Source organism: Homo sapiens, chromosome 6 (assembly GCF_000001405.40).
Source record: "Homo sapiens chromosome 6, GRCh38.p14 Primary Assembly".
NCBI classification, from domain to species: Eukaryota; Metazoa; Chordata; class Mammalia; order Primates; family Hominidae; genus Homo; species Homo sapiens.
The window spans coordinates 31,059,850-31,086,573 of record NC_000006.12 but is presented as its reverse complement, the minus strand read 5'-3'; the positions used below and the strand labels follow the sequence as shown (position 1 = coordinate 31,086,573).

Sequence of the window (26,724 nt, the reverse complement as noted above, 5' to 3'; positions counted from 1 at the left end):
GGGCAGCCACATCCAATGACTGATAGATAAGATAAGAACATACAAAGTCCTGGTTACCTTGCTTCAAGTTTGGCCACCTTTTTGTTTGTTTGTTTGTTTGTTTGTTTGAGATGGACTTTCGCTCTTGTTGCCCGAGCTGGAGTGCAATGGCACAATCTCTGCTCACTGCAACCTCCGCCTCCTGGGTTCAAGTGATTCTCCAGCCTCAGCCTCCTGAGTAGCTGGGATTACAGGCGCATGCCACCATGCCCGGCTAATTTTTTGTATTTTTAGTAGAAACGGGGTTTCACCATGTTAACTAGGCTGGTCTTGAACTGCTGACCTCAGATAATCCTCCCCCACTCGGCCTCCCAAAGTGCTGGGATTACAGGCGTGAGTCACCGCGCCCGGCCGAGTTTGGCCAAATTTAAAGGACTTTTCCAGTGCCAGAGGCCTCCACAACCCATGAGATCAGCTCAGTACTCTTTACGGCTTCATTACAGTTCAACTGCTCCCTTTCCCTGTCCCGTTTCTCTCAGCTTTTAAAGGTGTTTGTCCCAAGATTGTTCCCCAATAAAACTTCTGCAGATAAATCTATCTGAGAATCTGTTTTCTGGGGAATCCAGGCTAGGACAGCCAGGCTGGAATTTAGAATTCTGAGACTCCCCTAGGTTCCATGGCAGAATATGGCTGAGTGAGGAAAACTAGCTCTGGGTCCTCTACCTGCATCTGCCCTACTTTCTTTTCCTGAAAATTCAAGTCCCTAAAATCTCCAGACCCATATCCTTCTCTGAAAACAGCCACATTTTGGGGTCTCAGAGCATGCACGACAGCAGCGAGGCATAACCCCTGGGACGATGGCCCCAGGAGGAGGCCCATGCAAACTTGGAAGCAGGCTTGGGGGCCATTAGTGCCAGGAATTCAGGGGTTCCAAGTACCTAGACTGTAGTACTTGTAGAAGAGATGCAACCTCCATGGGTAGGTCTATCCCTTTGGCTTCTCGGACTTTTTGTCCTATAAGTTGGGGGAATGATAGAGCAGGTCCCTCTAGATCATGGAGCCCGGGCAGGGTCCTCATGTGCTTGGATCCAAGGGTGGGAAAACATTTTCTACCTAATTTAAACCAGTGGCATTTGTGTCTCTGTTACAAGCAGCCAAAAATTTATATTTTAACACGTCTAGTTGACTTCCTGCACTTCTATGCCCATCTTCCTAAAAGAGAACAGTGTATCTCTCTAAAAGGGACTTCATCCTTTACTCTCAGGTCCTAGAATATACTGATGTTTCCTACATGTTAATTATGCTTTCCACAATCAAAATTTGATTTCATTAGGAAATCCATTCATGCAAGAGATGTCTCTAATTAAAAACTATCCAAATAACTTCTCCAATAACCAACCACACTGGCCTTTTTGCTCTCCTCCCTGCTGAGGGCTTATATCCCTGGATATCCTTTGACATCCATCAGCCCTGCTCTCTATAGTGACAATCTACAGGAACATTTCCATTTATTGCCTCTCCAGTGATTCTCAGCTCTTTGCAAACAAAATTCCATCCAGTTCCTTCAAAGGGCAGTCCTTTAAAAACCATGAGCCTATACTGTTAGTCATGATATGCGGAAAGAGATTGTTGAGGGTCTCAAGTACCAAATCCACCTACTGCAATGCATTGAGAAAATATGCATCAATTGCTTGTTCTGATAATGTACTGTAGTATGTAAGAGCTTACCACTGGGGAAGCTGCGTGAAGAGTGCACAGGACATCTCGGTACTAATTTTGCAACTTTCTGTGCATCTTTAGTTATTTGAAAACAAAAAGAGAAGAAAAAAAAAGAGGAGGAGGCAGGACATTAAAAAATATAACCTTATGGATGGGCTTGGTGGCTCACGTCTGTAATCCCAGCATTTTGGGAGGCCGAGGCCGGCGGATCACGTGAGGGCAGGAGTTCGAGACCAGCCTAGCCATCATGGCGAAACCCCATCTCTACTAAAAGTACAAAAATTAGCCAGGCGTGGTGGCAGGCGCCTGTAATCCCAGCTACTCAGGAGGCTGAGGCAGGAGAATTGCTTGAACCCGGGAGGCGGAGGCTGCAGTGAGCAGAGATCTTGCCACTTCACTCCGGCCTGGGCAAAAGAGTGAAACTCTGTCTCAAAAACAAAACAAAACAAAACAAAACAACAACAAAAAACTCCTTATTCAAAAATCGAGGCCATTCCAGATAAAGGAACTCTCTTTATATCTACAGTTTTGGCTCCAAACTTTATTGTGGCTTCGTACCTTAGTGAACTGGATTAGTGAGCATGTGTGATTGCAGTGACTGCCTAAAAAAGAGACAGGGCAGCCTGCCCTGTCCCATGAGTCCTTCCCGTTGGGCTTCCATAAAAGGGGTGAAGTGTCCTTCCCCAGCAGGAGGCGGCATTGAGTAATTCTCATGACACCAGCCTTAAAGAAGGACTTACTTGGCCTGCAGTCTGCCACACACATCTCCCTCAGGGCCCCAGCAGGGCCTCTGCAGCTGGTAGGTGCTTAATGGAGGATTTTAGGATTTTGCATCTTGGTTATCTCATCTTTGAGGACTCGACCTACATCTGGCAAGTCTAGGAGATGGAATTGAGGAGGGCATATGCACAGAGTACTGGGAATTAGAGAGCTGAGTCACTGGAGAGTCTCGAACCTCAGAGCAGCTGCCTTTCTCTTGGACTCAGGCCAAGATTGAGGGAGACTGACGACATATTGCATCTCACAGGTTCCCAGGGGCACAAGGCTATTTGCGACCACAGCAGCTCCGTTTGGCTAAGGAGGCCTTGGGTTTCTGAGGGATAGGAAGAATCAGAGCAGAGAAGAGCAGATGGAATGGTGACCGACGTAGGGCCCTGAAGTTTACTTAGGGTTGTCTTCTAGAAATGTGAGGTGCTGTGTTTACAAAAAAAGCATAGCTTGCACTGCTCTCAGTCTCAGGTTCCCAGGGGAAAGGGCTAAATAAGGACAATCTGCAATGCATTGGAAGGAAAAACTGAGAGGCTTATACATTTATGAGAGGTATCCCCACTATGTATTTGTAAATCTTCCAGAATGTAGGAATGTCCAGATGCCATTAAAAAAAAAAAGACTAACTGTATTTATTCATTTATCTATTTTTATTGACATTGTAATTGTATATATTCAGATGCCCTTTTTTTTTTTTTGAGATGGAATTTTGCTCTTCTTGCCCAGGCTGGAGTGCAATGGCATGATCTCAGCTCACTGCAACCTCCGCCTCCTGAGTTCAAGCAATTCTGCTGCCTCAGCCTCCGGAGTAGCTGGGGCTGGGACTACAGGCATGCACCACCATGCCCAGCTAATTTTTCTGTACTTTAGTACAGACGGAGTTTCGCCATGTTGGCCAGGCTGGACTTGAACCCCTGACCTCAAGTGATCCTCCCGCCTTGGCCTCCCGAAGTGCTGGGATTACAGGACTGAGCCACCTCGCTCAGACTTTTTTTTTTTTTTAAATGGAACCCTTCACAAATTTGTGTGTCATCCTTGAGCAGGGGCCATGCTAATCTTCTCTGTATCAGATGCCACTTTCATTTTTAGACGGAGTCTCACTCTGTTACCCAGGCACCTGCCACCATCCCCAGCTGATTTTTTTGTATTTTTAGTAGAGACAGGGTTTCACCATGTTGGTCAGGCTGGTCTCAAACTCCTGACCTCAGGTGATCCACCCACCTTGGCCTCCCAAAATGCTGGGATTACAGGTGTGAGCCACCGCTCCTGGCCTTTTTGTTTTTTAAACTCAGCACTCATCTTAGTATTCTAATATATTATCTCCTAAATAAGTTTTTATTTAACTATTTAAAATTTTTATCAGATTTATACAGATATGTAATTTTAAAAGCCAAATATATATGTGTGTGTATATAAATTACAGATATGTAATTTAAAAAGCCAAAGACAGAACAAAAGCTATAGTCCGGTACCAACCCCTAATTCTCTCTTCCTAGAAGTAAAAGCACTTCGATGCTCAATTAGTTTTTATCTTCCTGTTTCTTAATAACAAGTTATATCAGTCAGGGTTCAGTGCAGCAACTAGAGATTACGCTAGGTAAATTAACAGGAAGACATTTTACAAAGGGTATTAAGAGCTTTTGAAATCTTTATAAGGGCTGAGGGCACAGGTTCTAAGCTGGGCTTTATGGAATGATATCCAGAATTATACAGATCTACTAGGTTTTCTTTTGATCATTTGTCTATGAATTTATCACAAATTTGTCAGCAGATTCTATAGAAGTCTATTTTTTCTCTGCAGTCTAATGTATTACAATTAATCAATTCCCTCTTTTTCTTGGTAATATCTTTCTGTAACCAGGTAAAGGAATTTTCTTAATCCCTGAGGTTTTGGCCCCAAGCCTTTTTTTTTTTTCTTTTTTCTTTTTGAGATCCACTCTGTCACCCAGGCAGAAGTGCAGTGGTGAAATCTTGGCTCACTGCAACTTCTGCCTTCTGGGTTCAAGAAATTCTCTGCCTCCGCCTCTTGAGTAGTTGGAATTACAGGCATGTGCCACCATGCCCAGCTAATTCTTTTGTGTGTTTTTGGTAGAGACGGGGTTTCACTATGTTGGCCGGGCTGGTCTCAAACTCCTAGCCTCAGGTGATCCACCCGCCTTGGCTTCACAAAGTGCTGGGATTACAAGCAGGAGCCACCATGCCCGGCCTCCAAACCATTTTAATCTGGACCTGCGGATCCCTAGTTCTCCTACACAGCAACCTCCTGGGATTTTCATTCTCCTCACTCTTTGGAGGATCCCACATCTTTATCTCTCCTGATCTAATCCCTTACTTTGATGGAACTTCCTAAGGAAAGGGGCAAGGGAGGGCAATTTTTGAAATTTTGTCTGAAAATGTCTTTTATATTATGATTACATCTGATTAATAGTTTTACTGAAAATAAAATTCCAAGTTGTAAAATTTACACCTAAATTAGGAAAGCACTGCTCCACTATCTTCCAGCTTCCAGTGCTACTGTTGAAAAGTCCTCAGCTAGGTGTTATGGTGCGCACCTGTAATACCAGCACTTTGGGAAGCCAAAGTGGGAGGATTGCTTGAGCCCAGGAGTTCAAGACCAGCCTGGGCAACGTAGTAAGATTTCGTCTCTACAAAAAATAAAATTAAATTTAAAAATTAGCTGGGCATGGTGGTACGTGTCTGTAGTTTTCAGAAGGCTGAGAGGGGACGATCCCTTGAGCCCAGGAGTTCAAGGCTGCAGTGATCCATGATTGTATCACTACGCTCCAGCCTGGGTGACAGAGTGAGATCCTGTCTCAAAAAAAAAAAAAAAAAAAAAGGAAAAGAGAAAGAAAAAAAGAGAAAACCCTATACCATTTGAGTTTTGATCTTTTTCATGTGACCTGTTTTTTTCTTTTTGTCCAATTTTGGGATTTTTCTTTTTGTCCTCAGTATTTTTAAAATTATGGTAGTATGCCTTGGATTTCATTCCTTTTGTTAGACACTTCTGTTAGACACTTGAGGTCTATCTCACTTTGGAACCATATCTCTCAGTTCTGAGAAAAGTTCTTGAATTATTTCTTTGATAATTTCATCCCTTCTGTTCCCTCTGTCTATTCTTTCTAGAAATCCTCCTATTCATCCAGATGATCTAATTTTCATATATTTTCTATACCATCTACATTTCTTTTCCTTTTTTTTTTTCTTTTGAGATGGAGTCACCCAGGTTGGAGTGTAGTGGCACTATCTCGGCTCACTCCAATCTCCACCTCTCTCGGGTTCAAGCGATTCTCCTGCCTTAGCCTCCCAAGTAGCTGGGATTACAGGCGTATGCCACCACGCCTGGCTAATTTTTGTATTTTTAGTAGAGACGGGGTTTCACTATGTTGGTAAGGCTGGTCTCGAACTCCTAATCTCAAGTGATCCACCCACTTCCGCAACTCAAAGTGCTGGGATTACAGGCCTGAGCTACTGTGCCCGGTCCCATCTACATTTCTTTACCCTTTGCTTCTTTTTAGAAGATTTCTTCAACTTTAAATTTTTTATTTAATAATGTGTTCTTTTACCATGGAGAAAATATCGTCTCTTATGTTTATGAAAATATTAATTGCAGTGGATTTTATTATTTGGCTCTTTGCATTCTCTAAATTTCCTCTTCTTCTTCTTCTTCTTTTTTTTTTTTTTTTTTTTTTGACAGGGTCTCTCTGTTGTGGTCCAGGGCAATGGCTTAATCACAGCTCAATGAAGCCTCGACCTCCCGGACTCAAGTGATCCTCCCATCTCAGCCTCCTGAGCAGCTGAGACTACAGGTGCACGCCACCGCGCCCGGCTAATTTTTGTACTTTTTGTAGACACAGAATCTCGCCATTTTGCTCAGGCTGTTCTTGAACTCTTGGGCTCAAGCGATCCGCCCAGCTTGGCTTGCGAAGGCACTGAGATTACAGGCGTGAGCCACCGCGCCTGGCTTTATATTCCTTAATTCTTGTGTTTTCAATACCTGTCTTTCATGTCAGTGGTTTTCATCCCATAATGACTAGTTTCTTATCAATGTATTGCCTCTCAACCGTAAATCCATCCTCTTAACTGATCTGTATTGAATTAAGCGGTTCTCCTTCGCAGCCAGCACAATATTAAGCTTTCTCAGTAGAGGGCGCCGGAGGGACACTGCCAGAGGAAAGAATTTCTTTTATCTCTGGTTCCGGGAGCTATGGTTTGTGATTCTTGTTGCTCCTGCGGCAGGGCCCATCAGTGGCCAGGTGGGAACATCCGGTGGTCTCTGTCCTAGCTGCGTGCTGACAGCATGCGTTCCCCCAGCGAGCTGGCCCTGACGTGGACCCTGCATGCCCCAGGCCTTGCATGCAGTGAGTGGGCTCCCGATGCCGCGACCCCCCCAGTTTCCTGCTTGCTCATGACTGTTCACAGGCTTTGGCCTGGGCATCCCAGGGAAATAATCTGGTACCTGGTGGGCACATGCACACTTTCTGCCTTGAGTTCTGAATCCAGCTTTGGGGTGGGGATGCTTCCACGTGTGTCCTTCTTTGGGTACTCTCCCGCGGCCCTACAGCATTCTTTGGAGTTCTCTGCACGTCTTTTTAGCCTGTTACAGCCAATAATTCTTTCTAATAATAAACTTTCTCTGCTCAAATTGGGGCTTGGGCTTTGTGAATGATACAGTAATCCTTGGCTTAGTTAGATCTTAAGCTGTTTGGAAACTCCAGGTGTGTGTGTTGGGGATGGGGGGAGGTTTCAGTGGGCTTCACCATAGTGCAAATGGGCTGAACTGTTTCTCCAGAAGACCCTTGTATTAGGGTCTAGTCAGGTGAAAGAAAAAAATCCAAATATTTAAACAGAGGTAATTTTGTTTTATTTTATTCTATTTGAAAAGGAATTTCACTCTGTTGCCCAGGCTGGAGTGCAGTGGCACAATCTCGGCTCACTGCAACCTCGGTCTCCCGGGTTCAAATGATTCTCCTGCCTCAGCCTCCCAAGTAGTGGGATTACAGGCACCTGCCACCACACCCAGCTAAGTTTTGTATTTTTAGTAGAGACAGGGTTTCACCATATTGGCCAGGCTGGTCTCAAACTCCTGACCTCAGGTGATCCACCTGCCTCGGCCTCCCAAAGTGCTGGGATTGCAAGCGTGAGCCTCCGCGCCCAGACAGAGGTAATTTTATATAAAGGATTGTTAACCACATATTGAGATCTAAAAAGACAAAAAGAGCACTGAGATACCGCAGAGGTAGAACGCGTGGGAATCAGGAATGGGGCAACTGCCTCTCCCTCAGTCTTGGGGAACTGAGGGAAGAGGTCAGTATTATTCAATGGGAGAATCTGGGAGGATGGCCCCACGGAGCTAGAATTCAGTTTCCTAAGGAGGAGCCTGGCCAGTGAGCCGGTATCACTGAGGCCACGGGAAGAGGCCTTTGCCGGGAGTGAGGAAGAACCACAGTTTGGGACTTGCTACTGCTGCTGGACCAGCTGTTGCTACAGGGCTGAAGATCCTCGGCTGTGGTGATGCCGGCAGGATTGGGAGGCCAACAAGGGAAGGGATCCCTTCTTCCTCCAGTGCTGACACCTCCCTCTACACCTAAGAGGGAGCCAGCTGGGAAGGAGAGAGTGGAAGAGGGTTTTGAAGTCAAGTGACAGTAGCTTAATATCCGTCAGAACCCCCTTACTCCTGTGTTCCTAGGTGTTTTTCCTTGTCTGGTCAGTTTCTCCAGAGAAGGTTTCTCTATTAATCGGCCTGGGGCAAGTCTGGCTGCTGGAGTTCTCAGAACCAACTTCATGGAGGGGACCAGGAAGCCTTACTGTTCGATAGGCAGGCTTTTACATAATCCTAAATGACTTTTTCTTTTCTTTTATTGCTTCTCTTATTTTATTTCTTTTATTATTACTTATTTTCTATTTTTTAAATTATTTTATTTTGTTTTCTTCTGGCCACATAAAGCCAGAAGGCCATAGGCTATATATATATATATGTAATTTTTTTTTTTTTGGTAGAGCTGGGGATCTTGCTCTGTTGCCTAGGCTGGTCTTGAATTCCTGGACTCAAGTGATCCTCCTGCCTTGGCCTCCCAAAGTGCTAGGATTATAAGCATGAGCTATCACGCCCAGCCTTAAATGATTTTCATTGTGGTTCCCAGGATGTGGCATGGTTCAACGCCTCCAGCGAGCAAACCACTCATTAGGGTGGAATATAGGGGGTCACTCTGCCATGTGCGTTGAGTTAGGAGATCTAGGGTTCTAGTGGCTTCTTACATAGACCATCAGCCTCTGGTTCCAGGCCTCTTGCACACTCACGTTTGGGATACTTGGTTTCTCCATTCCTTACTGGGGTTCTGCTATGTGAAATCAGCCTGCTTCTGGGATTCTCCCACTGACATTTTACCTTTAAATTTCTCTTATCTGCTAAGACCTTTGTCTATTTGTTATCCAGATCATTATTCTCTATTTATTTAGATTGTGTAGTCAGTTTCTCTCTCTCTCTCTCTCTCTCTCCTCTCCCCCCGCCTTTTGTTCTTGTCAGTCCTTGCCTTTTAAAACCCCTTTATCACATTTTGGTGGGATTTCTGCTGGGAGCAGAGATGGTTGTGTTCAATCAGCTACATAAAGCCTGAAGGCCCGGCCAGGCACAGTGGCTCAGGCCTGTAATCCCAGCACTTTGGGAGGCCAAGGTGGGCGGATCATCTGAGGTTAGGAGTTCAAGACCAGCCTAACCAACATGGAGAAACCCCGTCTATACTAAAAAAAAAAAAACAAAAAACTTAGCCAGCCGTAGTGGTGCATGCCTGTAATCCCAGCTACTCAGGAAGGCTGAGGCAGGAGAATCACTTGAACCCAGGAGGCGGAGGTTGTGGTGAGCCAAGATCCTGCCACTGTACTCCAGCCTGGGAACCAAGAGCGAAACTCAGACTCAAAAAAAAAAAAAAAAAGCCCGAAGTCCCAGTTGAATTTGTGGTGTAGATGTGGTGGGTGGGCTCTGGGTACCCAGCGCAGCTTAGCTGGCAGTATGTAGAAGTGAATACCAGGAAGTCTTTCTTTTCATTTCCCTCTGTTTTCTCTGGCTTGCCTCTGCCCAGGTGGCACTGGGGCCTCTGCTTCAGTGTATGCCTCAATGTATTTCCAACAAGATCCTTTCTTACGGAGACGGAGATGAGACAGCCCAGAAATCTGACTGATATGCCATGCTGTGGAGAGATCTTCCGGGAACAAGAGGGAGTTTGCAGTTCTCATTCTATTTTTGCTGGCCTCTAATGATCAGAAGCAAAGCAGAGCCAAAACAAATAGGCTAATTTACATTCCCTGCTATTAATGCTCATAAAATGCTGCATTTTTATATTGCTGCTCAAAGCACAGACTGCAGAAAGAGTATTGAGGTGGTTCTGACAGCAATCTTAAGAACTGCAGAGAGACTCTCTTGCTCAATAATTTTCTCCTTCTTTTAAAAATAAGGCTGGACATGGTGGCTCACATCTGTAATACCAGCACTTTGGGACACCGAGGTGGGAGGATAACTTGAGTCCAGGAGTTCAAGACCAGCCTGAGCAACATAGTAAGACCCCCATCTCTACAAAAAATACAAAAATTAGCCAGGTGTGGTGGCTCACACCTGTAGTCCCAGCTGCTTGGGAGGCTAAGGTAGGAGGATCACCTCAGCCCAGGGAAGTTGAGGTTGCGATAAGCCATGATTGCACCACTGCACTCTAGTCTGGACAACAGAATGAGACCCTGTCTCAAAAAAATAAATAAATAAAAATAAATAAATTAAATAACATTGGCTGGACATGGTGGCTCACGCCTGTAATCCCAGCACTTTGGGAGGCCGAGGCAGGAGGGCTTGAGTCCAGGAGTTTGCAACCAGCCTGGACAACGTAGTGAGATCTCCATCTCTACAAAAAGCGAACAAAATTAGCCAGGCATGGTGGCGTGTTCTTGTAGCCCCAGCTACTCAGGGAGCTGAGGTGGGAGGATTGCCTGAGCCTGGGAGGCTGAGGCTGCAATGAGCCGAGATCGCACCACTGCCCTCCACCCTGGGCAACAGAGCGAGATCCTGTCTCAAAAAGGAAAAAAAAATTATCAGGTTTGAAATAAAATATACATAATATAAGAAAACAAAAGTAATTTCTAACCCCAATAAATAAAGATAGAAGACATTGTTAACATTTTGGTATATTTTCTTCTTCTGTTTTTTTTTTGTTGTTGTTTTTGTCTTATTTTATTTAGAGATGGTCTCCCTCTGTTGCCCAGGCTGGGGTGCAGTGGTACAATCAGCTGACTGTGACCTTGAACTCCTGGGCTCAACTGATCCTCTGACTCAGCCCCCCAAGTAGCCAGGACTACAGGCATGTGCCATCACATCTAGCTTTTTTTCTTTTTCTGAAATAAGAATGGGTTATATTTTGCTGTAACAACATGGGGTTAGGGACCAGGCCTGCGTAGTTGTAGTCATGCTTTATGATATGGCTGGTGACTCAGTTAACTGCTGGTTCATGAGCTGGAGCAATCCCAAAATGGTTTTCTAAAGGATGCCTGGCCCTGGTGTTTCCACACTGGCTCCTGTGGAGCATCTCTAAGCAGAGGCTGCATGGTGTTCTGTCCAGGTGGGAGCACAGGCTGAGTGACTCAGTTTTCATGAGGCGATGTATACCTGTTGCCCGCCCAAATGAGTTCTTAACAAATGGTAATGAGACTGGCCACCGTGGCTCACGACTGTAATCCCAGCACTTTGGGAGGCTGAGGCTGGCGGATCACTTGAGGTCAGGAGTTGGAGATCAACCTGGCCGACATGGTGAATCCCCGTCTCTACTAAAAATACAAAAAATTAGCTGGGCGTGGCGGGTGACTGGAGTCCCAGATGCTTGAGAGTCTGAGGCAGGAGAATCACTTGAACCCGGGAGCCGGAGGTTGCAGTGAGCCGAGATGGCGCCACTGCACTCCAGCCTGGACAACAGAGTGAGACTCCACCTCAAAAAAAAAAAAAAGAAATAAACAAAGCAGATATACAGTAGTCCCTTGGTATATGAGGGGGATTGGTTCCAAGACTCCTGTGTATACCAAAACCTACACATATTCAAGTCCCACAGTCAGCCCTTTGGGTCCCAAATATATGTAAAGTTGGGCCTTTGTATACATGGGTTTCACATGTCACCATTACTGTGTTTGTGATCTGCATTTGATTGAAAATAACCCATGCATAAGTGGACCTAAGTGGACCTATGCAGTTCAAATCCATGTTGCTCAAGGGTCAACTATATGGACATTAAATTAAGCAAGACATAAACTGGGATGTTAAAGCATGAGCAATAAATTAAAACTCAAAGAAATGACAGAAACCATTAGAGAAAATCAAATGAAGTATTGCTAAAAAATTTTAGGCAATTTTAACAAAACAGGAAAAACTTTATCAAGTTGATTTTTGCAAAGAAACTGGAACATGAGCTCCCTCCACTCACGTGTCTGTGCCCCTCAGAAGGGCGGTCCTGAGGAGCCAGCACATAGCCCAGGACTGACGTTAATGCCCTCAGGCAGGCTCCCACTGCCTCCTCTGCGCCTGCCTTCTCTCACTTTCTAGAATCCCAGTCCTAAAACTCTGTTTGATGTTTAGCAAAGGAAGACATATTCAGACATGCATAATAATGGTAGAAGACAGAGGTGAGGAATGCTGTGAAAGGTGTCCAAGGGGCCATGGAGAGCCCTGGGACTCTGGGGCTACCCCAAGGAGGCTGTGTTTTAAAATGTGTTTACACAGGCCTTTTCCATCATAAGTACATCTTTATTATTTTATGTATTTTGGAAAACACAGAAAAGTATTTCAAAAGCAAATCCTAAAGTAGTAAGCCTTAGATCATTGTGAAAGTTAATTTTTAAAAATATTTATTAAATTTAATGAATTAATTAATTTTTTGAGGCATGGTCTTACTCTGTCACTCGGGCTGGAGTGCAGTGGCACAATCACGGCTCACTGCAGCCTCAACTTCTCAGGCTCAAGAGATCCTCCCACCTCAGCCTCCCGAGCAGCTGGGACCACAGGCACTCGCCACCATGCCTAGCTAATTTTTTCTCGTTGTTTTTTGTAGGGACAGAGTCTCACTATATTCCCCAGGCTGGTCTTGAACTCCTGGGCTCAAGCAATCCACCCATCTAAACCTCCCAAAGTGCTGAGATTACAGGGATGAGCTGCTGTGCCCAGCCAAAGGTTAATTTCATGTGTCAGTATGCTTAAGCCATGGTACCCAAATATTTGGTCAAACATTATTCTAGATGTTTCTACTAAGGTATTTTGTAGATGAAATCAACATTTAAATGGATGGACTTTGAATAAAGCAAATTACCCTCCCGTATGTGAGTGGGTCTGACATCCCCCAAGGAAGAGGGAATTCTGCCTCCAGGTTGCCCTTAGGCCTGAACTGTGACATTAACTTTTGTCTCCAAGCCTGCCAGTTTTCCCTGCAAATTTTGGACTTGCCAATCTCCACAATCGTGTGAGCCAATTCCTTAAAATCTCTCTCTCACCTATATGAGCTCCTTTGAGTGTGTCTTCTCATCTATATGAGAGAGAGAGAGAGACAGAGAGAGAGAGGTTTTAGTTCTGTTTCTCTGGAGAACCCTAATACAGTTATGGTTTCATTTTAAAACATTTTTTTCTAGTCTTTTCTTTATACCTAGGTGGTTGTTGTTGTTTAGGTTTTTGTTTTTGTTCTTTTTGAGGGGTTGTATTTTATTGTCACCAATTGCATATATAATTGTGTGTTCCTTAATTCCTTATATTTATTTATTTATTTATTTTTGAGACAGTCTAGTTCTGTCACCCAGGATGGAGTAAAGTGGCGTGATCTCTGTTCACTGCAACCTCTGCCTGCCGGGTTCAAGAGATTCTCGTGCCTCAGCCTCCCAAGTAGCTGGAATTACAGGCACCCACCAACCACGCCTGGCTAATTTTTGTATTTTTAGTAGAGATGGGGTTTTGCCATGACCTCAAGTGATCCGCCAGCCTCGGCCTCCCAAAGTGCTGGGATTACAGCATGAGCCACTGTGCCTGGCCTTTAATTCTTTTTAAATAAATTATTATGACACTATTGTCTTCTTTGTTAATATAAGTTTTAATAAAAGTCACTTAAGTGGCTTCCCAATGATGCACAAAGTACATAGTCTATAATTTATAGTTTTTACTGCTAAATGTTTCTGCTGCTTCCAATATTTTGTTAAGATAGTAAACTGTAATGCACTTTTTTTGTTTATAAAGCTTTTTACACAATTGAGAATTGGATAGATTCCCAGAAATGAGATGACTGCATTGAAGTCACAGGCTAAGAGACACAAAGAGAACAGCAGCGACCCGCAGCAAGCTGGGCCAGAGGCTCCAGAGACTGCTGTCGAGGCCTGCTGGGGAGGAAGCCATGGCCAGTGGGGGGGCCACGAGTGGGCACAGAATCCACCCTCAGCTCCCACAGCTGCCCTCAGCCTCATGTTTAATCAGGCTCCACTAAAGACCTAGGGATAACAGAAGAGAATTCCAGGTACACTTAAAACTGGAAATGAGACATGGTGCTTTCAGATTTCAGAGGCCCACGCCCCTCCCTGTATGCACTTGCTACAGGAGGCTTCTCTGCCTCACCTTTAGCACGCTCTGAGTTTTGGGGGCCAGCATAACTCCCCAAGATAGGTGGCTCCCTTGAGTGTGCCTTCACTATGCAAAATACAGGCTCCCAACTCTGTTCTTGTTCTGGTTCAAAGACAGCAGGAAGTTTCCCCACTCAATCCAGCTTGCGGCCCACCTACCTACCAGTACCTGTGTTCTTTAGGATGATTTAAAGTGAGAATGAGCTACTCTCTGGAGGAGAAACATCCCAACCTATGGCCTGTGACCTCAGTGCCTTATGACCTGTGAGAGAGACTACATGTCCAGCAGAAATATACATGTATTTCTCTGTGAGAGAGACTACATGTCCACAGAAAGCGAGCTCCGTGTAATTTACAAAGTTCTAGTAGTCACATCAAAAAGGTAAAAAACAACAGGTGAAATTAATTCTAATAGTAAATTTTATTTAACACAGCATATCCAAAATATTGTGATTTTGACAAGTAATAAACATAAAAATTATTAGTGAGATATTTTACTGTTTTTGTACTAAGTCTTTGAAATCTCATGTGTGTCTTGCACTTAAGAGCACATTTGTATTTGGACTAGCCACACTTCATGTGCTCAGTTGCTACATGTGGCTAATGGCTACCATGTAGGACAGCACAGACTTACTGCACAGCTTACCTGAGGAGATCCTAGCAATAAATACTTGTCTTGCATCGCATGTGTCTCAAGAATAAGTTATTATTATTAATTAGTTTTTTTTCCTTGAGATGGAGTCTTGCTCTTGTAGCCCAGGCTGGAGTGCAGTGGCATGATCTTGGCTCACTGTAACCTCTGTCTCGTGGGTTCAAGTGATTCTCCTGCCTCAGCCTCCCGAGTGGCTGAGATTACAGGTGCACACCACCACGCCTGGCTAATTTTTGTATTTTTAATAGAGATGGGGTTTCACCACTTTGGCCAGGCTGATCTCAAACTCCTGCCCTCGGGTGATCTGCCCTCCGCCCGCCTCCTCGGCCTCCCAAAGTGCTGGGATTACAGGCGTGAGCCACTGTGCCCAGCCAAGAATACGTTATTTAGTCTTGAATTACAGATTTCATTGAACATCTACAGATCAGTCTATGACGTCCTTAACTTGCTCAGTGGAGCCAGTTTTCCCCATTCCAAGATGAAAATATGGACAGTACTAAGACTGTTCTGATCTCTCTTAGGTCCTGTAGTTATTTTATATTACCAAACACAATGCCAATTCAGAAACTCAACGTTTAGTTCCAAAGGTAAGTCTCCTTTCCTCCAGCAAGGGCTTTGCAAGGATGGGAAGATGAGAAATGGGGAAACAGGTCCTCAACATTATGCATCTATCCTTCTTCTCCTGTCTTGCTAATGGTGGTTTCTAACCCTCCAAGGTTGAGTAGAATGGGGAAGGGTTGGGGGAAGGAGTGGTCTGGGGCGTGGAGCAGGCACGGTTTGCAAGAGGGCTTTGCATTCTCTGGGACTGGTAGGGGCTTACAGGGGATTCCTCCTCCTTGGGTGCTTCTTCCGAGACCCCTCACCCCTAATGCCATACAGTTGCAAATGAGGATTTCTTTCCACGATTTATTCCTCCCACAGCTCATAGGAATGCAGTAATCACTTCAGCTTCTCTCTGCTGAGGCCTGTTGATGCCTGTAGGTGGCCACATCAGACAGGATTAGCTCGGCTCCACATCAGCTCGCTTCCTAGCATGCCTCACACTAGTCTGCTGGAAATACTTACACAGCCTTGCCCTGAAAACCTGGGATACAGGTCCCCAGTGCCTCCTCCTTTCCTACACTCCCACTCCCAGGGCAGAAAACCAGCCTGTCTCCTACCATGAGGTCTGCAGACAAATGTCAGATGCCAGCCCATTGCAGTCTGTCCACTGGGGAGGGGGAAGCTTTATGCAGGACAATAGGAAAAAAGAGTGAAACTATTCTGAATTAGATGTTTATATACATAAAATGATATTGCTTGACACCTGAAGGGAACAAGAAAAACTCTGGAGCTTTCTTGATCTAGTGACATGAAAGAAAGATGAGGTCCATGTGCTGTGGCTCATGCCTATAATCCCAGCACTTTGGGAGGCTGAGGCTGGAAGATACCTTGAGTCCAGGAGTTCAAGGCCAGCCTGGGCAACATGGTGAGACCTAATCTTTATTGAAAAAATAAAAATAAAACGTAGCAGGGCATGGTGGTGCATGCCTATGATCCCAGCTATTTGGGAAGCTGAGGTGAGAAGATTACTTGAGCCAGTGAGATTAAGGCTTCTATGAGCCATGATCATGCCACTGCATTCCAGCAAATTAAAAAAACTTAAAATTTTTTTTAGGCTTGACTTGAAACTCAGAGACCTTGAAAAAGAAAGAAAAAGAAGAAGAAAGAAAGAAAGAAAGAAAGAAAAAAAGAAAGAAAGAAAAGATGGGACCATTGGTCGCCATGGACACTGTTTCCACAGCTACTTTGCTATTTTGATTGTCATTGCGTATTGTTTGAAAGACTCTGCTATGAGAAAAATATAACTATTTCTCAATTTAACCGTGATAGACTATAAGTAGATAAAATAAGGTTGAGACAGATTAAATAAACTATTAAGGGGAAGAACTAGACTAGAACCCAGGTTTTCTGGCTTCTTATCTGGTGTCTGTTTTCACTCTGAAACTCACTTAGGGTCACGGACTCACTGACTCACAGATTCAGTGTGACAAAGATAATCAGAAACCAAGTCACTGTAACAAAAGCCCCCTAAAGACAGGACACCAGCTCACTGCTGTATCCTCAGTGTTGACGTCAGTGTGCTTGTCCAATAATCCACACTTAATAAATGTGAGTAGAATGAGTGAATTAATTAATTAATGGTTTAGTTGTTTAGTTTGTGAGGGAACAAGTATCTGAAAATGTTAAATGAATCACTGAAAGTCATTTATATATATGTGTGTGTGTATATATATACATATATATATATATATTTTTTAAATACAGAGTCTTGCTATGTTATCCGAGCTGGTCTCCAACTCCTGAGCTCAAGCAAACCACTCGCCTCGGCCTCCCAAAGTGCTGGGATTACAGGTGTGAGCCACCTCACCCTGTAATATAATATAAATGCCGAAAGTCATTTATATTTTATAGGTTGTAAGACATATATTTATTTTCCCATTTATCATCTCTTGAATAGGGATGCGTCTTACAATCAATGGCGTGTCATAGTTTAACCCGCTGTGTTTTCCTCTTAGTGCTGCATGAAATAATGGTATGTTTTCCGGCAACGGAGCTTTAGATGCAATGAGGAGCAGCAGTTGTTTGTGGACATACGTTGTGTCTCATGTCAGTGAGTGCAAGGAAAGGGGGAGGTGGGGGTGACCCCGTGGGATGCAAAACAAGTCAACTTCTCCAGGCCCTCAGAAGTGGCGCTCAATCTCCAGAGAGGCGCCCATCTCGCAGAGGGCCACTACCCGGTCATTGCCACTAGGGGGCTACCAGACATTTCATCAGGAAGACACAGGCAGTCTTTGGGCCTCTCTTCCGACCAGGCCATTTGTTGCCATGGATATTGTTTCCATAGTTGCTTTGACTGTCACTGCATTTCCCCTGATTATCTGTTTTTGCATGCTGAATATATACTATAATCCAATCTTCATCCTCATCAATTTAACAATTTTATCATATCTAGATTTTTCAAATGGCCAGTTTTCATCAATTGTGACGTTCATGGCATTTGACTTTGTTAGTGAGTTCTGCTTTTGCAGCCCCTGTGTTCCAGTATACAATACTGCATTATACCTCAGCTCACTTCACAAATTGGGTATCCACTGCAAGCAACTAAGCACAAGTAGTGAATACTAATCCAAATGAAAGAATGGGTCTGTTGTGGTGTTAGCGCAAGAGAAAATTCCTCTGCTCCATGGTGCATTAGTAGTAGCTCATTTTGCTTGCTGCCCCATTTGATTACATTGTTGGTGGTAAATATCACTGCTGAAAGTTCCATGAATTTCTTAAAGGTCTCCAAAGAAGATGTGGAACATTGAAGCATTTCACAACGTTTGCATGTACATGACAGCAATATTCATTCGCTTCTGCCAGGCACCTTGAAGGCAAAAGCTATTTACATGGCTCTCCACTGTGTTCTCATAGCCATGCACAGGCTTATATGTCCTCTGCAAAGATGTGATAGATGATCAAAGGAAACATCCAGTCTCCTCCCTCTCCCTCTCCCTCCCCCTCCCCCTCCCTCTCCTCCCCCTCCCCCTCTCCCTCTCCTCCCTCTCCCTCTCCTCCCTCTCCCTCTCCTCCCTCTCCTCCCTCTCCCTCCCCTCCCTCTCCCTCTCCTCCCTCTCCCTCTCCCTCTCCCCACGGTCTCCCTCTCCCCCTCCCTCTCCCTCTCCCCACGGTCTCCCTCTCCCCCTCCCTCTCCCTCTCCCTCTCCCCGCGGTCTCCCTCTCCCCCTCCCTCTCCCCACGGTCTCCCTCTCCCTTTCCCCACTGTCTCCCTCTCCCTCTCCCTCTCCCTCTCTCTCCACGGTCTCCCTCTGATGCCGAGCCGAAGCTGGACTGTACTGCCACCATCTCAGCTCACTGCAACCTCCCTGCCTGATTCTCCTGTCTCAGCCTGCCCAGTGCCTAGGATTGCAGGCGCGCGCCGCCACGCCTGATTGGTTTTCCTATTTTTTTGGTGGAGACGGGGTTTCGCTGTGTTGGCCGGGCTGGTCTCCAGCTCCTAACCGCGAGTGATCTGCCAGCCTCGGCCTCCCGAGGTGCTGGGATTGCAGACGGAGTCTCAATCACTCAGTGCTCAATGTTGCCCAGGCTGGAGTGCAGTGGCGTGATCTCGGCTGGCTACAACCTCCACCTTCCAGCTGCCTGCCTTGGCCTCCCAAAGTGCCGAGATTGCAGCCTCTGCCCGGCTGCCACCCCGTCTGGGAAGTGAGGAGCGTCTCTGCCTGGCCGCCCATTGTCTGGGATGTGAGGAGCCCCTCTGCCTGGCCGCCCAGTCTGGGAAGTGAGGAGCGCCTCTTCCCGGCCGCCATCCCATCTAGGAAGTGAGGAGCATCTCTGCCGGGCCGCCCATCGTCTGAGATGTGGGGAGCGCCTCTGCCCCGCCGCCACGTCTGGGATGTGAGGAGCGCCTCTGCCCAGCCGCGACCCCGTCTGGGAGGTGAGGAGCGTCTCTGCCCGGCCGCCCCGTCTGAGAAGTGAAGAGCCCCTCCGCCCGGCAGCCGCCCCGTCTGGGAAGTGAGGAGCATCTCCGCCCGGCAGCCGCCCCGTCAGGGAGGGAGGTGGGGGGGCAGCCCCCGCCCGGCCAGCCGCCCTGTCCGGGAGGTGAGGGGCACCTCCGCCCGGCAGCCCCGACTGGGAAGTGAGGAGCCCCTCTGCCCGGCAGCCACCCCGTCTGGGAGGTGAACCCAACAGCTCATTGAGAACCGGCCATGATGACGATGGCGGTTTTGTCGAATAGAAAGGGGGAAATGTGGGGAAAAGATAGAGAAATCAGATTGTTGCTGTGTCTGTGTAGAGGGAAGTAGACAGGGGAGACTCCATTTTGTTCTGTACTAAGAAAAATTCTTCTGCCTTGGGATGCTGTTAATCTATAACCTTACCCCCAACCCCGTGCTCTCTGAAACATGTGCTGTGTCCACTCAGGGTTAAATGGATTAAGGGCGGTGCACCATGTGCTTTGTTAAACAGATGCTTGAAGGCAGCATGCTCGTTAAGAGTCATCACCACTCCCTAATCTCAAGTACCCAGGGACACAAACACTGCGGAAGGCCGCGGGGTCCTCTGCCTAGGAAAACCAGAGACCCTTGTTCACTTGTTTATCTGCTGACCTTCCCTCCACTATTGTCCTATGACCCTGCCAAATCCCCCTCTCCGAGAAACACCCAAGAATGATCAATAAATACTAAAAAAAAAAAAAAAGAAAAAGAAAAAGGAAACATCCATGCCACCTCCTTTCATGGGTAGAAGGTAGAAGCTGAAAAAGTCTTCTGGGTATGGAAACTCACGAATACCTCGAGGCCAACTTGGTTCAGGGTTGCTGCCTAAAAAACTCTGGGTGAGGTCCTGAGTTGAAAACAAAACATCTCTGCTTGTGTTCAATTTTCAAATTCTTTTGAGGGTGAGGCCTGAGAAGTCGCAAACATCTTAAAAAGCAGAACTCACTAGTAAAGGCAAATAAATGCCATAAATGTCACAATTGATGACACGTTCCCTACCATCCATCACACACACAAGAATGTTTTTTCTGTGTATCCACGACTTGTTTTCAGACTGGGGGCTCCTCAAGAATAGGGACTGTGTCTGGTTTTTCTTGCTTGGCTCAAAACCCAATACAGATTGGAGGAAAGATCCGAGAGCCTGCCATTGCAAGCCTAAAGAAGAGAAGACTGAAGGATAAAAGTGTTCATACCTGTGAGTGATTTTTGTAGAGACAGTGCAGAACAGTTCATCACTTGAGATTCAGTCCAAATGAGATAAAAAGTGAGTAATCCTGGAGCCAGGAAACCTGAGTTTAACTCCCTCACCCCCCACCCCTCCCTGCCACTTACCGTTAAGGAGGTTTGGGGACAATTTATTTAACTTCTCTGAACTTCAGTCTTTGCATTTCTAAGACAGGATGGTTCTCCTACCTCACAGAGGTGATGTGAAGATCAAAAGAATCCACATATGTGACAGCAGCTCAAAGTGCCCCACAAATATGTCACAAGTCTCCGGTCAGTTACCCTATCCCTTGGGAAGCTTTCCAGGATCTGCACAGGCTGAATGAGATCCCTTCTCTGGACTCTGCCCGAAAGCATTCCTTTATTGTAGCACTTAGCATGTTGCACTGTAATTGCTGGTTTTCTTGTCCTTGAGGGTAAGAACTATGTCATTCACTTCTGTTGGTTGGCTGCCTCTGTTCCCAAAAGAATTCCCAGCACCATACTAGACAGTTACTAAAGGAATCCTAGGCCAGGTGCAGTGGCTCATACCTGTAATCCCAGCACTCTGGGAGGCCAAGGTGGGTGGATCACAAGGTCAGGAGTTCGAGATCAGCCTGGCCATCATAGTGAAACCCTGTCTCTACTAAAAATACAAAAATTAGCCGGGTGTGGTGGCACGCGCCTATAGTCCCAGCTACTCAGGAGGCTGAGGCAGGAGAATTGCTTGAGCCTGGGAGGCGGAGGTTGCAGTGAGCTGAGACCACACCATTGCAATCCAGCCTGGGTGACAGAGTGAGACTCTGTCTCAAAAAAAAAAAAAAAGGAATCCTAATTTCCTTGTGTTTACAAATAAGACCAAAACAGAAGAAATAGCACCAAAAGAAAGCATACATTTATTCGTTTATTCCAAAATGTGTATTTCATCCCATCTAAGATGACGTTGAATGCAAGATGCAGCATTACTTATGCCCCACTAAGGAAGAAAGAGTGCTACTGACTGGTTCATGATGTGCTATCAAGTGTAAGACACTTTTCCATTTTTAAACGTTTCTTGGTTTTTTTTTTTAGGCAGTGTCTTGCGATGTTGCCCAGGCAGGTCTCTAACTCCTAGCTCTGGGCAATCCTCCCACCTTGTCCTCCAAAAGTCCTGGGATTACAGGCCTGAACCACTGCAGCCAGTGGACATCTCCATTTTATTTTTATTATTATTTTTTTAAGACAGCATCTCACTCTGTCACCCAGGCTGGAGTGCAGTGGTGCAATCTCGGCTCACTGCAACCTCCACCTCCCAGGTTCAAGTGATTCTCTTGCCTCAGCCTCCTGAGTAGCTGGGACTACAGGTGTGTGCCACCAGCGCCCAGCTAATTTTTGTATTTTTAGTAGAGACGGGGTTTCACTATGTTGGCCAGGCTGGTCTCCAACTCCTGACGTCAAGTGATCCACCTGCCTCAGCCTCCCAAAGTGCTGGGTTTACAGGTGTGAGCCACTACGCCCATCCGACATCTCAATTTTAGATTACGATCCAATGGGGAAGATGTGCATCAGAGGCTCAATGAAGCATATGATTATTAAATATCTAATCTATCTCATATATTGTCCTCAAAACCCCTATTCTCAAGGAACTGACATTCTAGTGGAAGGAGACAGACATAAAACAAATAAGTTAACACGTAAATAAGCATAAGTTCAGATTGTCGTCAGCTCCATAAAGAAAATAAATATGGTAATCTGTAGAGACTGAAGAGAGGGGTTTGTTTTAGATGAATCACAAGAAAGGTCCTGAATAGATCTGAAAAATAACTACGTGTTTTCTAAGGTGTCAAACAATACCTCGCTAAGGGAGAGTGTTGAATCACTGTTGCTTCACCAAACATTCTTGTTTAGAAAGACAGGGGACTGGACCAGAGTGTGCATTCGCAGACGTTTTAATGAGAGGTGACACTCCCCAAAAGGCATAAATCCTGTTCAGGCACAATCTAGAGGGGTGTGCTTACTTGCCTGGTGTCCTCAATCTGGACTTGTGCAAGTTGGGTTCAGCTGGACCTGGTATGACTCCTTGATGACACCTGAAGAGGTCCTTTAAACACTGGACTTCATAAAGAGAAAAGGAGGATTAGCTGTATGATTAACTGTATGCATTTACCAAAGGCATGGAATGCACAGATATGTGCGACAACTTATAAGTGTCATCTGAGTATGAGTATATTATGGTTTGAGAGTCAACTACCAAATCTTGTAGTTCAGGTCCCAGGAGTGGTTAGAAAGGTATTTCCCTTATTCATTGAGGCTTCATTTTTTTTTTCTTCCCTTATGGGTGTTCTGCAGCATCTTCTCCTTGTCTTTTCTACCTTCAATACTCTCCAGAGACCAGATCTTCATGTATATCTCTCTGGGCTCTCAAATGCCAAAACCATACTCTCCTTCACGGTAGCACCCTGAGGGGGTGGACTTATTCTGGAGAAAGCTACGTGGCAAGTTGAAGGAGACTGACTGGGTAAAGCCCCTGTGCCTCTGGCAGAACTGCTGCCACAAAGGGATATGCGTATCCTGGGAATAATTAGTACAGGCCAGTTGCTACTGACTTTAAGGATGTTCCTTATGCTTCAATCCTATGTACAACTCTGGGATCTTTGGAGAGCAGCAAAAAGACTGAGATTGAATTTCCCTCTAATCTGACAGGAGCAGAAATTAACATTTTCTTTCTTTTATTTTTCTCTTCGAGACAAGGTCTCTCTCTGTTGCCCAAGATGGAGGGCAGTGACATGATCACAGCTCACTGCTGCCTCGACCTCCTGGGCTCAAGCAATCCTCTCACCTCAGCCTCCCAAGTAGCTGGGACTACAGGCATACACTACCATACCCAGCTAATTTTTAATTTTTTTGTAGAGACGAGGTCTCACTATGTTGCCCAGGCTGGTCTTGAACTCCAGGCCTCAAGCAATCCTCCTGCCTCAGCCTCCCAAAGTGTTGGGATTACAAGCGTGAGCCACTGTGCCCAGCCTTTTTCTTTCTTTCTTTCTTTTTTTCTTTTTTTTTTGAGACAGGATCTTGCTCTGTCGCCCGGGCTGGAGTACAGTGGCACAGTCATGGCTCACTGCAGCCTCCACCTCCTGGGCTCAAGCGAGCCTCTTGCCTTAGCCTCCCAAGTATCTGAGCCTACAGGCATGTGCCACCACACTCGGCTAATTTTTTTTTTATTTTTAGTAGAGACAAGGTCTCACCATGTTGCCCAGGCTGGTGTAGATCTTCTGAGCTCAAGTGATCTTCCTACCTCGGTCTGCCAAAGTGCTGCGATTACAGGTGTGTCATCCTGCCTGGCCAGAAATTAACTTGATTGAAAGAAAAGAAAAGCTTTTGATATGCTAGCGTTTTTGCATGCATGCTTTTGCATGCTAAAGTTTCTATGCCATTTACAGAGATTTCATGGTCTCTTCAATTGCTCTAAGTTGTCCTTGAGGTGCAGAAACTCAAGCACACAGACTTCTCAGCTAGAATTTGTAGCTCTAGCAATTCCTTTGTTTATTGCACAAACCTAGCTTGTACCGAGACCAAAAGTTCTGCCCCCTTGAAGACCAAGGCAGATTCTGGAATTCCTTGTGCTTGCCAATACCCTTTGACAAATGCCCAGCCCCAAACCCCAGCCTGAACTTCAGGAGGAAGATTTTATAGAAACACATTGGACTTTTCCTGCCTGTATATTAACCAAGAGACTCTTCTGTCACTCTTTTTTCCTGCAATAAACTGATATTCATGCAAGTATCTCTAATCACAAAATTCTCCCTTGGCCACTTGCTGCCTCCATGGGGGCAGAAGAGGGAGATCATTTTATTATTCTCCCATTCCCCACTATGTGTAGCTCCCACATTCTTAAAATCCTGAGCACTGTGTCTTCCCAAATGTGTCATGGAGATATTCGCAGAAGTCTGCATGTTCTAGATGATGTTTATGTGTCATATCATTTAGGATCCCATTTAGCTGGAATCACAAGAAGCTCACCTCACTGAGCTCCGGCACACTGCTCATCTCATATACGAAATGTCCGAGAGGAGCAGCCCAGGGCTCAGTATTGCCATCGGGCACCCAAGTGATTTCTTCCCTCTGCTCCACTCTCAGCTTGAAGCCTTCACCCTGCTGTGGGTCTCCCCCTGACCTCAGCATTGCTGAGCCCCAGGTCTCATATCTGCATTCCAGGTAGGAAGAGGAACGAAGGGGAAGGGGCAAAGGGCTTTCTCCTCATGAGCTTTGGCCTTTTCATCTGGAAGGGACACCATCCCCAGGAACTTATGCCTTTATCACATTGGCCAGAGCTGTATCTCCTCACTGCACTGGCTGCAAGGGGGACCGGGAAATTGGGGATTTGGGAAATGGTTTTCTTCAGCTGGGCACATTACCATCACCCCCAAAACTCAGGTTCTCCAAGTGTAAGGGAAGGGGAGACTAGAGCTGTTTCTGTCACGTTTTCCTTCAGGTAATAATCTTGAAAATCCCCATAATATAAGCATTTCCTGGATTCTATTGATGACCAATATAAAACCAACATAAAGCTAATAGAAATGATTAGTCTTTACAATTGCACAGCCTAACAAGAGTAGAACGAGAACTGTCTTAAAATTTAAACGGTGCATTTGCATTAAGGGCCCAATAATCCCGCAGCTGACTGAGAGACTGAAGGTCTTGAGAGAGCTTGTACAGAGACGATCCATGAAAGAAGGAAAACATCAAGTGGCAAATGAGATTTGAGAAACTAGGCTGTAGCAATCACTACAATATTAATGTTGGAGCGAAGAATTCTTCAGTAAAGAAATATCATGCATTACATTAAACTACTGCTGTTACTTCTAACGTTATTGGAACAGTAGAGCTATAAGCATAAGGAGTTTATACTTCATTTTCTGTTTCATATATATTTACGTTTAAGCCAACATGGCGAGTTCTCAAAAAATCTCTTTTCCAGCCAGGCACGGTGGCCCACACTGTAATCCCAGCACTTTGGGAGGCCAAGGCGGGTGGATCACCTGAGGTCAGGAGTTCAAGACCAGCCTGGGCAACATGGTGAAACTCCATCTCTACTAAAAATACAAAAATTAGCCAGGCATGGTGGTGCACGCCTGTAATCCCAGCTACTCGGAGGCTGAGGAAGGAGAATCGCTTGAACCCAGGAAGTGGAGGTTGCAGTGAGCCAAGATCGCACCACTGGACTCCAACCTGGGCAACAGAATGAGACTCTGTCTCAAAAATATATATGTATCTTTTCCTTTAAAGGTGTTTATCACATAAGTCTGAGAAATATTGGTTTAATATTTATTTAATCAATCCAATTTTTTCACTTTAGTATTTTAATTTATTATTCCGTGTTTCCGACTCTGTATCATAATACTACAATTCCATTATTTAACACTGGTGGTGATGCTGCTCATAGTGGCATCAGTAGTGAGCAAACAATAATCAACTGTCTTCACATATCTTTGATTCTTTGGTTTTTGTCCTGAGCTCCTCACAGAGCTGTTATATCCAATGCCCCGGCCTTGTCTGTGGTCTTAGCCATCATTCATAGGTGCATGAATATGGTGCATTTGCATTAAGTAAGGACAAATCTCTTCTTCTATCAGGCAGGGCTTTTCTCTTAGAGGTTAGGTCTGGACTTCGTGTCCTCATTTCACACCGCGATTGACTAAGATGAGACTCATTTATTTGCTACGGTGGCCAGTCCCACACAGGTGCTCATACATACTTGCTGAATGACCAGTTGACTACATCCTGTAAATGTGACCCTTTGGCCTGGGTGGTAGGAGAACGCGGGCATAGTCCTCTTAAGAGATAAGTTGTATCCTTCAGCTTACAGGTAGACTGAGATAGACAGACTGGGAGACGTAGAGTGTTGAGCTCATGCTAGGCACTGAATAAATATTTTGTTAAGGCCAGGTGCGGTGGCTCATGCCTGTAATCCTAGCACTTTGGGAGGCCAAGGCGGGTGGATCACCTGAGGTCAAGAGTTCGGGACCAGCCTGGCCAACATGGTGAAACCCTTGTCTCTACTATAAATACAAAAATTAGCCAGGCGTGGTGGCATGCGCCTGTAATCCCAGCTACTAGGGAGGCTGAGGCAGGAGAATCACTTGAACCTGGGGGGCAGAGGTTGCAGTGAGCTGAGATCGCGCCACTTCACTCCAGCCGGGGCAAAAGAGCAAAACTTCGTCTCAAAAAAAACATTTTTTTTTTTTTTGGTTAAATGAATGAATGTAGAGATATG

At 45.5% G+C, this 26,724-nt stretch overlaps 1 pseudogene, besides 4 other annotated features; it reads right to left on the bottom strand.

Moving 5' to 3' along the window:
• Positions 2,285-2,784: an enhancer, noted in NCBI's record as "H3K27ac hESC enhancer chr6:31051567-31052066 (GRCh37/hg19 assembly coordinates)". NCBI's record gives its function as "activates a minimal SCP1, AML or CMV promoter by ChIP-STARR-seq in primed H9 embryonic stem cells {active_cell/tissue: H9 hESC(primed)}" and the evidence as "EXISTENCE:reporter gene assay evidence [ECO:0000049][PMID:30033119]".
• Positions 3,471-3,534, bottom strand: RNU6-1133P (RNA, U6 small nuclear 1133, pseudogene; annotated as a pseudogene).
• Positions 6,810-7,342: an enhancer, noted in NCBI's record as "H3K4me1 hESC enhancer chr6:31047009-31047541 (GRCh37/hg19 assembly coordinates)". NCBI's record gives its function as "activates a minimal SCP1, AML or CMV promoter by ChIP-STARR-seq in primed H9 embryonic stem cells {active_cell/tissue: H9 hESC(primed)}" and the evidence as "EXISTENCE:reporter gene assay evidence [ECO:0000049][PMID:30033119]".
• Positions 14,564-15,527: an enhancer, noted in NCBI's record as "NANOG-H3K27ac-H3K4me1 hESC enhancer chr6:31038824-31039787 (GRCh37/hg19 assembly coordinates)". NCBI's record gives its function as "activates a minimal SCP1, AML or CMV promoter by ChIP-STARR-seq in primed H9 embryonic stem cells {active_cell/tissue: H9 hESC(primed)}" and the evidence as "EXISTENCE:reporter gene assay evidence [ECO:0000049][PMID:30033119]".
• Positions 15,528-16,492: an enhancer, noted in NCBI's record as "NANOG-H3K27ac-H3K4me1 hESC enhancer chr6:31037859-31038823 (GRCh37/hg19 assembly coordinates)". NCBI's record gives its function as "activates a minimal SCP1, AML or CMV promoter by ChIP-STARR-seq in primed H9 embryonic stem cells {active_cell/tissue: H9 hESC(primed)}" and the evidence as "EXISTENCE:reporter gene assay evidence [ECO:0000049][PMID:30033119]".